Source organism: Homo sapiens, chromosome 17, assembly GCF_000001405.40.
Source record: "Homo sapiens chromosome 17, GRCh38.p14 Primary Assembly".
Lineage (NCBI taxonomy): Eukaryota > Metazoa > Chordata > Mammalia > Primates > Hominidae > Homo > Homo sapiens.
In genome coordinates this window covers 17,961,324-17,976,090 of record NC_000017.11, presented here as the reverse complement: position 1 = coordinate 17,976,090, position 14,767 = coordinate 17,961,324, and the positions used below count along the sequence as shown (strand labels likewise).

General features: G+C 46.9%; 2 protein-coding genes across 33 annotated transcripts in view, besides 3 other annotated features; one reads left to right on the top strand and one right to left on the bottom strand.

Annotated features, from left to right (window-relative positions):
* Positions 1–3,278, bottom strand: part of DRC3 (dynein regulatory complex subunit 3) — a 44,077-nt gene extending 40,799 nt beyond the window's left edge. For 9 of the 16 annotated variants that reach the window (XR_934111.3, XR_007065485.1, XR_001752656.2 and 6 more), the window contains exons 1-2: positions 3,117–3,278; positions 2,129–2,239 (exon numbers count right to left, since the gene is read on the bottom strand). The gene's annotated coding sequence lies outside the window, so the exon portion shown is untranslated. Of the gene's footprint in view, positions 1–2,128; positions 2,240–2,337; positions 2,427–2,991 lie in introns of all 16 variants that reach the window. The other 7 variants (XM_024450964.2, NM_001130090.1, XM_011524020.3 and 4 more) reach the window with 4 other exon arrangements.
* Positions 2,938–3,257: an enhancer, noted in NCBI's record as "active region_11819". NCBI's record gives its function as "activates an Ori minimal core promoter by ATAC-STARR-seq in GM12878 lymphoblastoid cells {active_cell/tissue: GM12878}" and the evidence as "EXISTENCE:reporter gene assay evidence [ECO:0000049][PMID:35858748]".
* Positions 3,629–4,198: an enhancer, noted in NCBI's record as "H3K27ac-H3K4me1 hESC enhancer chr17:17875207-17875776 (GRCh37/hg19 assembly coordinates)". NCBI's record gives its function as "activates a minimal SCP1, AML or CMV promoter by ChIP-STARR-seq in primed H9 embryonic stem cells {active_cell/tissue: H9 hESC(primed)}" and the evidence as "EXISTENCE:reporter gene assay evidence [ECO:0000049][PMID:30033119]".
* Positions 3,691–14,767, top strand: part of TOM1L2 (target of myb1 like 2 membrane trafficking protein) — a 128,890-nt gene continuing 117,813 nt past the window's right edge. For all 17 annotated transcript variants that reach the window (NM_001288789.2, XM_047435389.1, XM_047435386.1 and 14 more), the window contains exon 1: positions 3,691–3,829. In NM_001288789.2, coding sequence (NP_001275718.1) covers positions 3,778–3,829 — 52 coding nt within the window. In that variant the 5' untranslated portion in view covers positions 3,691–3,777. The remainder of the gene's footprint in view (positions 3,830–14,767) is intronic.
* Positions 3,938–3,987: a silencer, noted in NCBI's record as "silent region_8263". NCBI's record gives its function as "represses an Ori minimal core promoter by ATAC-STARR-seq in GM12878 lymphoblastoid cells {active_cell/tissue: GM12878}" and the evidence as "EXISTENCE:reporter gene assay evidence [ECO:0000049][PMID:35858748]".

Below are 14,767 nucleotides of genomic sequence, written 5' to 3'. Positions count from 1 at the left end.
CAGCCCCTGTGCTCTGTTTTTCATTCCACTGGGCACTGCTGGAGAAACTCCTGGTGCAGGGCTGATGGTGTCTGCTGAAAAGCCAGGTTGGGCCATACAATCCTGTTACCTGGTCTTAGAGACTTCCCTCTAAGACTGCCCTCCTCTTGCCTCCCTGACCATCCACTTGGATGCAGCTTCTGCAAATATGCATCCTCTGCCCTGAACTGTCCCTCATCAAATGTCCCAATGAGCTCTTGTGCACACTTCTCTCTTGCTTCCAGGGGAGGCATAGCCTCCACACCCTTCAACCCCTACCCCTTCTCCACCTGTGCCTTCCGTCCTCCCAAGACCTTGGTCCTTTTCCTCCCACTCTCTCCAATCTGTTCACACTGGCTCCACCTCGTTGGGGTGACTGATTCTACCCCCAAAGACAGTTCCAGACCTCGGCCTCTCTCTAGCTCCCCACTCTTATGCAATGGCTTCCCCTGCGGTTTCCCATAACTTGTCATCAACTTGTCTTTGGGGGAATTTTAATGTGTTATATTTGGCTGATGTTTTCTGCAAAGTGTTTGGCCTTTTTTTTGGGGGGGGGGTGGGGAGGTCAGGCGCGGTGGCTCACACTTGTAATCCCAGCACTTTGGGAGGCCGAGGTGGGCGGATCACAAGGTCAGGAGATCAAGACCATCCTGGCCAACATGGTGAAACCCTGACTTTATTAAAAATACAAAAATTAGCTGGGCATGGTGGCGCATGTCTGTAATCCCAGCTACTTGACAGGCTGAGGCAGGAGAATCGCTTGAACCAGGGAGTTGGAGGTTGCAGTGAGCCGAGATCGTGCACCACTGCACTCTAGCCTGGTGATAGAGCGAGACTCCATCAAGAAAAAAAAAAAAAAAAAGGTGCTATACTTTGGGAAATGACTCTTAATTTTGATTTCAAAACTTTAACTGACTTATCCCTCCTACTTCATCAGGGCCTGGTACCTGTGACAGATCAAGTTTGCTTTCAGTCAAGCCCAGCAATTGCTATGCTAGGAAATGGGGGATTGTTATTACATATGCTATTTGTTAAGCACATCAGAGCAGGATTTGGATCCTGACTGTGCATCTTTTGGCAACTCACTTCACCTATCTAAGCCTTGGCTTTCCCATCTGTAAAAGGTGGATAATTTCTCCCTTCTGCATTTGTGTGAGATCACGTATTTAGTCCACACATGGGTAGTGAGTAACTGCTATATGCTGTGAATAAAACAGACGGACTTTAACCCAGCTTCAGGCATGAATCAAACAATAATACAAATATTTAACTACAAACCATGACAATTTGTAGGTGTAGGGAACTATGAAATTGTACATTAGGGGCACCTGGCCTGGCCAAGGAAGACAGGGCTGATTGGAAGGACAAGCAGGAAAGAAGGAGGAGGTAACTTTGTGGAAAGGCCCTTTAGGTGGGAGAGAACAGACTTGTTGCACTTTGGCTGAAGTGATGCAAGTTTGGAGAGGTCTGTGGGAGTTTTGTTATTATCCTAGAATCCCTGGAAAGCACCTAGGGCTTAATAAGGGCAGCAACATTAGCTGGGCATGGTGGTGCATGCCTGTAGTCCCAGCTACCCTGGAGGCTGAGGCAGGAGAATCGCTTGAAACCGGGAGGCGGAGGTTGCGGTGAGCCGAGATCGTGCCATTGCACTCCAGCCTGGGCAACAAGAGCGAAACTCCATCTCAAAAAATAAAAAAAATAAGGGAAGCAATGTGATCAGATCTTAGTTTTTAAGAAGCTCACTCTAGCAACAGTACTGAGAATTGCAAAAGTACTGAGGTGAGAGATGACCAGGGTGTTAGCAAGATGTAGATGGGAGAAATTTCTAGAAACTTAATTTACATGTAGGGCTAATACTCACCAATATCCAGATAAGAAAACAGAAGCTAGTTAAAAAGGTTAATTAACATGCCCAACTTCATACACTTAGCACGTGGCAGAGTTCATTTTCCTAATCATGACTCAACTGTATCCAGGGTACTGGGGACTATCATTGCCACAGCTCACAGTGTTTCTCACAGTTGTCCTGGGTTCAGGGCCAAGGCCCAAACAGTCCTCTTCTATGGGGATCTTATAGTTTACCACCCAACCTGGGTCCCCTTTGACTTGCCTGATGATAGTGTTGTTGAAGACCAGAGAGGTTGGAGCTGGGGAAAGCAGCAGAGTTTTACACAACTGTCAACGGAGTGGCCTCCTCACAGATAACAGATCCAGAATTTTCCTGGGAAATGATAACCTGAAGTCAACAGGATCTGAAAACTATAGTCCCTATTGGCCATGAATTAATAAGGAGAAAATTGGTTGGGCGAGATGGCTTACACCTGTAATCCCAGCTCTTTGGGAGGCCGAGGTGGAAGGACTGCTTGAGTTCAGGAGTTCAAGACCAGCCCGGGCAACATAGGAAGACCCTGTCTCCATTTTTAAAAATAAAAAATAAATAAATAAATAAATAATGAACAAAATTTTTCTTAAAAAAGAATAAAATCAATCACTTACTGAATGCTTACTGTGTGCTCAGTGCACATGCATTATTTAAGTACATGTAAGCTCCGGAGGCCATAAAAAGGGAGTCCTAATGCCCTTATTTCCCAGCTAGGGAACCTGAGGCTCCAGGGAGGTAAAGGAACTTGTCCAAAGTCGTACAATGAGTTACTGACAGAGACGGATACAGAACTTGAGTAGCCGTATTCACATCCAAAGCGGTATATACAGTACCAAGATGAAATCATTTGATAGTTATGAGGTCAGTTATGATGGCTAAATTCTGGGAAAAGTTATCAGTGGACCGGGTACCTCTCTTTCTATGAAAGGAGGCTGGAAGACGGAACCCCTTAAAAATCCATTCTGGCCCTGCTCCCTCGGGAAATGCTTCCTTAGTATTTTTTTTTTTTTTTATTCAAAAGCTTGACAAGCCCAGGACTAAAGTGTCTTGGCTGTCTCACACGACTGTAAAGTGGCTGGGAGAGGACCTACGTGCTCATTTTATAAATGAGAAGGGCCGGGCCGGCGTTCTCCGAGAAAAAGGTCACAGGAAAGAGTTACGTCGGGCACTATCTGTCCCTGCAAGTCCTCCGGGAGCCTCAGCTCCCAGGTCTCACCTTCTCAAGCGCTGGGAACTCGGCGGTTCCACGCAGCAGACGCGTCTCCCGGTTGCTGGGGAACCAAGCGCCGCGACTTGGTTGCTAAGGGGAAGTCAGAAGGGAGACATCCTGGGTGAAAGTTGACAAGTCACGTGACCACATCTCCGTGTGGTGAAACACTCCTTACACCAACCAGCCGTAGAGAAAACAAATGTTTCTCCAATCAGTACTTTCTATGGGCGGGGATATTCCTAGATTCACCTCTGTTCCGTCCATTTGCGTGATTGACTCGTCTTTTGTCCAATAATAGTAAGAATCCTTTAGATTGACCAATATACAGAGGAATCAAAATGCGCAGCTTCCCCTTTGGGGGCGGGCCAGGGGAGGTGCCGCCACGGCTGACAGGGACTCCGGTGACCTAGCTCGCTCCTCCGCCCAATCGGACGCTGCGGGGTGGGTGGGGGCTTTGCTGACAGAGGTGTAACGACCAATAGGAGGCGGGCTTCGTAGGTGTCCCCCAATAGAGACGCGGCAAGGGGGCGGGGCCAAAGGCCCTAAGCTCGGCGTTCCAGAGAGTGGGGAGGGGGCAAGTGTCAGTCAGGACGGGAGTCCGGCGGGTTACAGCGGAGGCCTAGGTGGCAGACAGGGGGCCCGGGCCGCTGCGTGTTGTCCACCCAAGATGGAGTTCCTCCTGGGGAACCCGTTCAGCACACCAGTGGGGCAGTGCCTCGGTAAGGCCGCGTGTGGGGCAGGAGGCTGGGCAACGGCGGCCGCTGATCCGGCTGGTGAGGACCGCGGGCCTCCGCCGGGCGCCGGTGCCACTTCACGAGCGGGCTGGGCCTCCGCCAGCCGCGGGTGCCACTCCACGAGCGGGCTGGGCATCCTGGTCGTCGGGCCTTTGCCGGGCGCTTGTGCCACCTCACGGGCGGGCTGGGCATCCTGGTCGTCTGGCCTTCACTGGGCGTCGGTGCCACCTCACGGGCGGGTTGGGCATCCTGGTCGTCGGGCGTTCGCCGGGCGCCGGTGCCACCTCCCGGGGGGGCTGGGCCTTCGCCGGGTGCCGGTGCTATCCCACGGGCAGGCAGGGCATCTGTGTCCTCGGGCCTCCTCCCGGGCACTGGTGCCACCTCACGGGCGCGCCAGTGCCACTCTGCCAGGAGGCACCCCTGAGGCCCAACTTGGACTCGGAGATGCCCCAGGCTTCCCTGCCCATCAAGGCTCAGCCCTTCCTTTTGCTGCTAGAGGTGGTGCCAACTGCTGGTCTGCTTCCCCAATGCGCTTTGGGAGATGCCACTGCATGTGTCTTTATCCAGCCCAGCAGGCTCACTGCCACTGCCCCAAGGACCCAGTTCTCCCAAACCCTTTGTGGGATGTCACCTTCTTCTCCATCTTTGTCCCTCCTCTTCGGTACCAGCAACCCTCAGACTGGGCACCCTCCCAGAAATGCCCCCTGCTCCGGGACTTGCTAATTTGAGCTGCAACTCAGCTGTGCTGTAGGAGGGACTGGGATAGGAGGAGGGGCTCTTGGAGGGTGATTATCTTGGCAGGGGGATGGCATGCCTGCAGTGCCTCCCAGGAAAGAAGGGAGGCTGTGTTATTTAATGATAAGAGCCCTGGACTGGGAATCATGGAAGCCTGGACTCTAGCAGTGGTTTTGTCAGTGACTCCATATGACCTTGTGCCCTTTCTGGTTTGAAGTTCCCCTGTCTGTCAAAGTGTTTGGAGATGAGATGTGATAGATCCCTTAAAGTTCTCAAGTTTTGATATTCTTTGTAGTACTCTGCACATTGACTGTTGCTTCCTCCCCCACCTCATATTAAGTTTACCAAAGCTGAAATCTTTTGTTGGCAATGTAGAGAGAATGGTACTCAGCATTATCTGTTAATCCTATAGGGGGGATGTGGACACCTGGGGACACCAGAGATGGCCAGAATCATGGATAAGGAAAGCCCAAAGTGTAGGTAAAGGAATACTGAAATGGCCACCATATGGGACTTCCTTACTAAGAAAGCAACTTGCCTTTTTACCCAAGGCAGTGGCTTATGCCACTTGATCAGTCAAGAATGCTGATTAGTTTGTTTGAAAACTGGATTCCTCCTGGTTGGTTGAAGGACTGGTAAAACGTCTTTTATGAGCCAGGATCTTTGGTGTTCTTATGGGCCTGATTTCAGCAGTAGTGATTTGTTTATTTTCTGCTTTGCTTATGAAATTTTAGCTTACTTTCCAGCCTTTAGTGGAGCCTATAAACTTATTGAGGTCTCTCCTGTTGGCTAATTAGCATTTAGGAGCCTTTCTTTACTTTCTGGCGTAGTATCTTTTATAATGCATGAGGGACCCCAAAAGAGTGTTTTCCCACCTTTTTGACATCTTGTCTCTTGCTGCCCACTGGAGAGTCTCTGGATTCTCACTTCCTTACTTCTTCCCCATGTCCTTTTCCACTCTCTTCAGGTGCTCTTGCATGGCAGCCACACTCCAAAAACTAATTTCCAGCCAGTTAATGGAGGGAGCCAGAAAACTTGCGAGAATTGTTTTCCTTTCTGTCCCCTTTATAATAGGAAGCTCTACACCTTTAAAATGACAAGGTAGTAAATGAGGGGTAGAAGTTAAAGGGGATTTAAAATACAAATGTGGTTGGGTGCGGTGGCTCACGCCTGTAATCTCAGCACTTTGGGAGGTTGAGGCGGGCGGATCACAAGGTCAGGAGATCGAGACCATCTTGGCTAACACGGTGAAACCCCGTCTCTACTAAAAATCCAAAAAAAAAAAGAAAATTAGCCAGGCGTGGTGGCATGCGCCTGTAGTCCCAGCTACTCGGGAGGCTGAGGCAGGAGAATTGCTTGAACCCGGGAGGCGGAGTTTGCAGTGAGCTGAGATTGTGCCACTGCACTCCAGCCTGGGCGACAGAGTGAGACTCTGTCTCAAAAAACAAACAAACAACAACAACAACAACAAAAAACCAAATATAAGAGATATAGGGATATATAGCAAGTGGAAAGAGCTTGATACTTCTGTCAGGGAGACCTAAGTTGAATTTTGACCTGGCCCCCATTTCTTGGCTGTGTGACCCCAGAAAATTGTGTTGCTTTCTGAGGTTTAGTTTGTCAGTCTTCTGAGAGAGAGAGAGAGAGAGAGAAAGATTCCTATTCACAGAGTAATGTAGTTTAAATGAGATAATGTATGAAAACACTTAGCATAGTATCTGGAACATAGTAGAAGCTCAGTAAATTGAAACTGCCACTGTTAATAACAGAATATTTAAGTTAGGGTTGGATTTTCTATCTGGAGAGGATATGTGAAACAACTGGCCCGTCTGTGACCTGTGAAGGAAAATACCCTACCAGGCCCCAGGATTCACCATTGCTCATAAGATGCTTGACTAAAGATGATGATGGCTCCCCACTGCCAGGTAGCCAATAGGTCATTTCAGTTCAGTTCAGGTAAATGATTAATGGACAGAATTAGGTTCTAATGTATATTCCGTACTGTTGTGACAAAGTGTCAAAGTGACTTTCTTGATATTTAGTGTTGTTAGTATTCTTTTAAAAGAATGTGCGGGGGTGGGGGATTGGTGGGAGGGAGGGGGAATACAGAAATAAAATAACAACTACAAAGCTAATGATTAAAAACAGCAGCTGTAGGCTGGTTGTGGTGGCTCATGCCTGTAATCCCAGCACTTTGGGAGGCCAAGGTGGTGGATCACTTGAGGTCAGGAGTTGGAGGCCAGCCTGACCAATATGGTGAAACCCTGTCTCTACTAGTAATACAAAAATGAGCCGGGTGTGGTGGTGGGCGCCTGTAATCCCAGCTATTCAGGAGGCTGAGACAGGAGAATCGCTTGAACCTGGGAGGCAGAGGTTGCAGTGAGCCAAGATTGTGCCACCGCGCTCCAGCCTGGGCGACAGAGTGAGACTCTGTCTCCAAAAAAAAAAAAAAAAGGAGAGCTGGTCCCTCTCTGATCCCTGTCCTCAATGGATTTACGGTTTCAGGAGAGAAGACAGAGATGCATGAAACAATGAGTGGTGTAGATTGTAAGTGCTGAAGGAGTCAGAAACAATTCAGAAGAGGCTGGGGTGACAGGGACTGGCTTCTTTGAGTCTGAGGGCTGTTCATAAAGGATGGGTAGGAACTCTGCATGCAGAAAACAATATCATTGGGCCTAGGGACAGCTGAATGAGGCAGGGAGTGGGGCACAGGCACATCTGTGAGTACCAGTCTGAATGGAGCAGAGGTGGCTGTGGGGAGTGGTGGCAAGTAGGGTTTGGGCACAGGAGGAAGCCCTGCTCTGGATGGGTGGCATCAAAGACTACATTCTTTTTTTTTTTTTTTTTGAGATGGAGTCTCACTTCATCACCCAGGCTGGAGTGCAGTGGCACGATCTAAGCTCACTGCAACCTCCGCCCCACAAGTTCAAGCGATTCTCCTGTCTCAGCCTCCCAAGTAGCTGGGATTACTGGTGCCTGGCACCGTGCCGGGCTAATTTTTGTATTTTTAGTAGAGACAAGGTTTCACTACCTTGGCCAGGCTGGTCTTGAACTCCTGACCTCGTGATCCACCCTCCTTGGCCTCCCAAAGTGCTAGGATTATAGGAGTGAGCCATTGCGCCCGGCCCAAAGACTACGTTCTTTAACTGACTTCAACTTTTAGTCTCTTTGGACCTAATTTTCCCTGCTTATAAAATAATACTTCTCAACAGCTGCATGGGGCTTACACCTAAATAATTTTGTCTGTTCACTTCAGTAGGCAGTTATGAGTGCCTGTGGGGGGCCAGGCCTGTGCCAGGCTCTGGGGATACAAATATTAACAAGCTGCTCTTAGGGAGCCTTCGGTAGAGGTAACATGCTCACAAAAGGTGTCCTGGGTCTGTCTGAGCGGTTGGTGGAGTAATTCTTACTCTGTCTTATGCGTGGGCCTCATGTGAACATTCTAACCTGGTACGATTTAGTAGAACACTTAGCGTGTTCATCTCAAGTTAGCGGCTAAGACCACAGTCTGACATAGTTAACTGTGCATTTCTTGCATCCATCCCGCCCTTTATTCTGGAGGGCAGTTCCTGAGTAGAAAGCATGGTTTAGGGAGAGAGTAAGCTGGACAGGTGCGGTGGCTCACACCTGTAATCCAGCACTTTGGGAGGCCGTGGCGGGTGGATCACCTGAGGTTAGGAGTTCAAGACCAGCCTGGTTAATGTGGCAAAACCCCATCTCTACTAAAAATACAAAAATTAGCTGGGCATGGTGGCACGCGCGTATAATCCCAGCTACTCGGGAGGCTGAGGCGGAAGAATCCCTTGAACCTGGGAGGTGGAGGTTGCAGTGAGCCGAGATCGTGCCATTTGCACTCCAGCCTGAATGACAGAGCGAGACTGCATCTCCAAAAAAGAAAAAAAAGAGAGAGAAAGCCTAGCCATGGTGTGCGAGGCTAAGAAGTGTGGTGGAAGAAAGAGTACTTACTTGTATTTCTTAATTTTCTGTTCTGCAACAAGCTTCAAAATGTTAACTGTCTTAATCTCAGCCTTCCACAACTGCTTGGAGTTGGATGACATACATGGGGAGTTCCCCAAGTCAGGTCCATTGTGTCTGCAGCAGTTTGCAGTTTTCCTTGTGTTGGCTAGAAAAAGTTTTCAGAAAATCCTTTTCCAAGAGTAAAGTTTAGATTCAAAGATCAGTGAGTAGTTAGTTAATTCTGACCAGAATATTGGGGGTGGTGGGCATGTATTCTCTTCATTGTTCTGCTTTAATAAACAGGCAAGAAGCAGATATTCTGTTGCAGAGTTTGTTTGTAGACTGACTGGTGTTGGACATAAACTACTTCATAATATCCTGTGAATGGTAGACGTTTAACCTGGCTATTTGTACCAAGAATAGTTAGTTGTCCCTCAGATTGCTATGTGTATTAGGGTTCTCTAGAGGGACACAACTAATAGGGTAGATGTTTATATTAAGGGGAGTTTATTAAGGAGTACTGACTCACACAATCACAAGATGAGGTCCCACAGTAGGCCATCTGCAAGCTGAGAAGCAAGGAAGCCAGTCTGAGTCCCAAAGCTGAAGAACTTGGAGTCTGATGTTCAAGGGCAGGAATTTGCAAAGCCCTTTTGCTTCAGTCATTTTATTTAGTGTTCACAACCTTGTGAGATATACAGGAAGATAACTGGAAGGAACTTATAATTATTAAGTACCAACTATATGCAAACTCTGTACATAGAATCTCATTTAACCCTCACAACATTTAACTATTTGGGTGTTATCATCCCTGTATCACATAAGGAAATCGAGGCTCTGAGAAGTTAAGAGACTTGTGCAAGGTCAATGGCAGAGTGAAGCCTAGAATCTACTCCTGATCCAGTGCTCATTCTGTGCTGCCATTTATGTTACTTTTTGCACTCTGAGCTCATGATTCAGCCGCAAGGGAATCACCTGGAGGGCTTGTTAAAAGTGGATCCTACCCTCAGAGTTTCTGTTTCAGTAGGTTTGGGGTGGGAAGTAGCATTCTACATTTCTGTCAAGTTCTCTAGTGATGCTGATGCTACTGGTTCACTTCGAGAACTGTAGTTCTTGCTTTGAAGTTCTGTTTCTTTAATCTTTTCTTTATCTTTCTTCAAACATTAAATGTAGGTTTTCTTGTGGACAGGCTAAAAGAGTGATTATTTAGAATTTGTTCATTTATTTATTCAGTGGCCCTGTACTATCTGTATATAGCAAGCTGAGAATTTCCCAGTGTGTAGGTATCTAAATTAGATCAGATAGAAAGTAGTTGCAAGATTGGATAGATAAATGCAGTAAGGAAATGTAGGAGGGGAGGGGTGACCTCAGGTGGTAATAATAATAGCTAAAGGCTTTTGGGTTTTTTGTTTGTTTTTTTGTTTCTTTGTTTTCCAGATGGAGTCTTGCTCTGTTGCCCAGGGTGGAGTGCAGTGGCGCGATCTCAGCTCACTGCAACCTCCACCTCCTGGGTTTAAGGGATTCTCCTGTCTCAGCCTCCCAAGTAGCTGGGATTACAGGTGCCCACCATCATGCCCGGCTAATTTTTGTATTGTTAGTAGAGACAGGGTTTCACCATGTTGACCACGTTGGTCTCAAACTCCTGACCTCAGATGATCCACCCACCTTGGCCACCCAAAGTGCTGGGATTACAGGTGTGAGCCACCATGCCCGGCCCCGTTTTTGGGGTTTTAAAAAAAGTTTAATGTTGTATTCCTATGTGCCAGAGACTGAAGTGGGCACTTTATACATCTTGCAGTCATTCGATCCTCACAACAATGCTGTGAGGAAGGTACTGTGATTATCTCCATTTTCAGATGGGGACATTAAGACAATGAGAAAGTATGGAACCTACCTAAGGTCACACAGCTAGCAGTGAGGGAGCTATAGTCTGAATGCAGCATTCTGGCTCCAGAGCTGGTATCCTGTCACGCTGTGCTGCCCTCAGCAAGAGTAAAGTGAGGAGGAACACTGTAGGAGGGAAGGAAGAACTCAGGAAAACTCTGAGGAGGTGGTGTCTGCTGAGCAGGGCTTTGATGAATGGGGAGGATTTGGTTTGTGTAGAAATGGAAAAGGATGTTTGGTTTCTTGGCAGAGACAACTTGAGCAAATGCTGGATGTTAAGAGGTAGGCGGGGGTGATGGGATTTATTCTGTGTGCCTAGCAAAGGGGAGTGATAGGGGGTGAGACTGGGAAGGGAGGATAAGGCCTGATTGTGTGGAGGGCTTGCTTCATATGTTGGCTAAGTAGTTTGAACTATATTTTAGAGGTACTGGGGAGGCATGAAAGACTTCTAGGGAGGGGAATAGCATGGAAGCATGAATATCATTACAGAGGTAGGGAGATTTCTCCTTAGCAGTCACCAGAAGATCATTCTCTCTACCATGAAAGCCCGCTTCTGTGCAGAATTGGGGAGGGAAGGTGGGGGAAGGAGGGGGGATGTCAGCTGTGGTCAAGGGTAGGGACACTGTCTATGAAGCCCCCTCAGAAACAGAAAGGTGCCAAGGCAGGTTGATGGAGCATTGAGAAGAAGTCTAGTCTAGAGCATTTGTCCTTAATTGCCTGGACAGGTCTTAAAACCCCTGACATTGAAAGTCACGTGGGGCGTCAGCCTGCTCCTCCTCCTGCTCTGTTTATCATATGCAATGACAGGGCTGACCTATTCCCAGGGCTTTTCTAGAGGAATGCCACTGCTTAGGAGTGGGCTATCGGAATATCTAAAATTCTCATATAATTGTGCTTTTTATTTATTTATTTTTTTTGAGACAGGGTCTTGCTTTGTCGCCCAGGCTGGAATGCAGTGGCAGGATCGTAGTTAAAGCCTCAACCTACTGGGCTCAAGTGATCCTCCCGCTTCAGCCTCCCAAAGTGCTGGGATTATAGGTTTCAGCCACTGTGCCCAGCCTTTCATTGTGCTTTTTACAAAACGATGTATAACCGATAGAAAATATGAAAGATATAGAAAAAATGCAAAGGAGAAAAAAATCTCCACAATGTGCGTCCTCACAAATTTGTTGAGATGCTTATTTCACATAATGGAATACTTTTGTATTTCACTCTTCATCTTCTCATGCCTTGAAGAGGCGACATTGTAGAACAACTTTTAGCATATTTCTGTATAATCTACATTTATTTATTTATTTACTTGGGATATTAGGAAAGGAAAACGGTGTAAATACATTGCCCAGAGGAGCATCAGTTAGGGGTTGTTGCTCTTGACCTAGCAGATAAATCACCCAGAAATGTTGCGCTAACCTAGTAGTCTGAGAAGATATAAATAACATTCAGGCTTTTCCTGCTGACCCGGCTTGTTGAGGTTAAAAGAGGCGACTTTTAAAACCAGTCTCAGACTTGGTTACATATGTTATTGCTCCCTCCAACCTTCTTGATTTAGGAGATTCTCTGCTTTTCTCCATTCAGTCATCAAGCCTGATGCCCATCAGCCCTCACCTCTTCCTACAGGCAGCCTTCCTAGACCACCCTGTTTATGGTGATGAATCTCTTCTCTGAGCTCACAGTGCTTGCTATCCATATCATTCATTTGGCTCTTCTCTTATCTATAAAACAGAAAATATTACTTGTCCTCCAGGTTTTTGTGACGATTAAATGAGATAATGTGCTTAAAATCCCTAGCACGGTGTCCTGCAATCAACTAATATAGACTTCTTGATTCCTTCCCTCCACTGTTACTGTTGTTATTTATCTTGTGTTATTTATCATGTGTTTATTGCCATACCTTCTGAATAAGGCTGGAGGCTCCTCTACTTTCTGTTTCCTTGTGACCTTCACAGCACATGGTAGAGTATATTCTTCATAGTTATTCACTCTTTTTGTCACTGGTATTTAGCATCTTTGAAAGCTAACATTACTAGCCATCATTTCCTGGCCCCTCACCATGTGCCAGGCACCTTGCTGAGTGCTGTGCATACTTATCTCATTTAAAAATTTTTTTCTCTGGAAGCACTGTTATCTTCATCTTACAGGTGAAGAAATAGAGACTTAAAGGGGTTCAGAAACTTGCCCAAGGTTTCCTGGCTCAAGTAGGCGGAGCGGTCCTCTCCAGCCAGGGGCTCTAGCTCCAGCGTTTTTCTTTGTTCATGTTGCCTTTTAGACATCAAGCATGGTCTGTTTCCATTTGGACAAGAAGGAGCCTAAACTGATTTCAAATAGGAATTCCAGAAAGATAGCATAGTTCCACCAATAGGAATGTGGATTCCCATTGCTCTCTCTTTGTTCTCTTCCAGCACTTAGCACTCTTTGTTCTAGATTGGAGTCAGTCCCATCTTTGCTTCTCGATGCGACTGCTTTTGTATGAGTCCAGTAACTGTGCTAAAACTCAGTTTCCCAATCTGTAAACTGTGGTGGTGAAGGGAGTACAAGAACACTTGCACCATCACATCTTACAGGGGTCAAGTGAGTATGTAAAAGCAAAATGTGTTGTTATGTTTTACATCATTTAGACTAAATGTTCCATGAGGGCACCTGTTTCTATTTATTCTTTAAAAAAAAAACCTGATAAAATATATATAACAAAATTTACATTTTTTTTTTTTTTGAGACGGAGTCTCACTCTGTTGCCCAGGCTGGAGTGCAGTGGCACGACCTCGGCTCATTGCAACCTCTGCCTCCCAGGTTCAAGCGATTCTCCTGCCTCAGCCTCCCAAGTAGCTGGGACTACAGGCACGCGCCACCACGCCCAGCTAAATTTTTTGCAATTTTAGTAGAGATAGGGTTTCACCATGTTGGCCAGGTTGGTCTCGATCTCTTGACCTTGTGATTCCACCCACCTCAGCCTCCCAAAGTGCTGAGATTACAGGCGTGAGCCACCACACCAGGCCCAAAATTTACAATTTTAACTGGTTTTAAGTGTGCAGTTCAATGGCATTAAATATATTCACATTGGGCCAGTCGCGGTGGCTCATGCCTTTAATCCTAGCACTTTGGGAGGCCGAGGCGGGTGGATTGCCTGAGCTCAGGAGTTCGAGACCAGCCTGCGCAACACGGTGAAACCCTGTCTCTACTAAAATACAAAAAAATTAGCCGGGCATGGCAGTGTGCGCCTGTAGTCCCAGGTACTCGGGAGGCTGAAGCAGGAGAATTGCTAGAGGAGGAGGTTGCAGTGAGCTAAGATCGTGTCACTGCACTCCAGCCTGGGTGACAGAGCGAGACTCCATCCCTAAAAAAAAAAAAATATGCAACAATCACCACTGGCCATCTCTACAACTCTTCTAGTCTTGCAAAAGTGAAACAATATCTCCCTGTTCCCTCCTCCCCCCAGCCCCTGGCAACTACCATTTTACTTTGTCACTATGAATTTGACTACTCTAGGAACCTCATATAAGTGGAATCATATATTTATTATGAAACCTCATATAAATGGAATCATATAGTATTTATCCTTTCATGACTGACTTCACTTGCATAATGTCTTCAAGTTTCATCTCTATTGGAGCATGTCAAAGTTTCCTTCCTTGTTAAGGCTGTATAATATTCCATTGTGTGTTTATACCACATTTTGTTTATTCATTCTTCCATTGATGGTCACCTGAGTTGCTTCCACTTTTTGGCTATTGTAAATAATGCTGCTATGAACATGAATGTACAAATATCTATTCATGTCTGTTTTCATTTTTTTTTTTTTTTTGAGACGGAGTCTCGCTCTGTTGCCCAGGCTGGAGTGCAGTGGTGCAATCTCTGCTCACTGCAAGCTCCACCTCCCGGGTTCACGCCATTCTCCTGCCTCAGCCTCCCGAGTAGCTGGGACTACAGGCGCCTGCCACCACGCCCGGCTAATTTTTGTATTTTTAGTAGAGACAGGGTTTCATCGTGTTAGCCAGGATGGTCTCGATCTCCTCACCTCATGATGCGCCCGCCTCGGCCTCCCAAAGTGCTGGGATTACAGGTGTAAGCCACCGTGCCCGGCCCTTCAATTTTTTTTTAAGAGACACGTTCTCCTTCTGTCACCCAGGCTAGAGTACAGTGGCATGATCATAGCTCCCTGCAGCCTCGAACTTCTGAACTCGAGCAATCCTCCTGCCTTAGTCTCCTGAGTAGCTAGGACTATAGGCATGCACCACCATTCCCAGCCAATTAAAAAAAAAATTATTTTTTTGTAGTGGCAAGGCCTCCCCATGTATCCCAGACTAGTCTTAAACTCCTGGACTTCTCGGACTCAGGTGATCCTCCCATCTT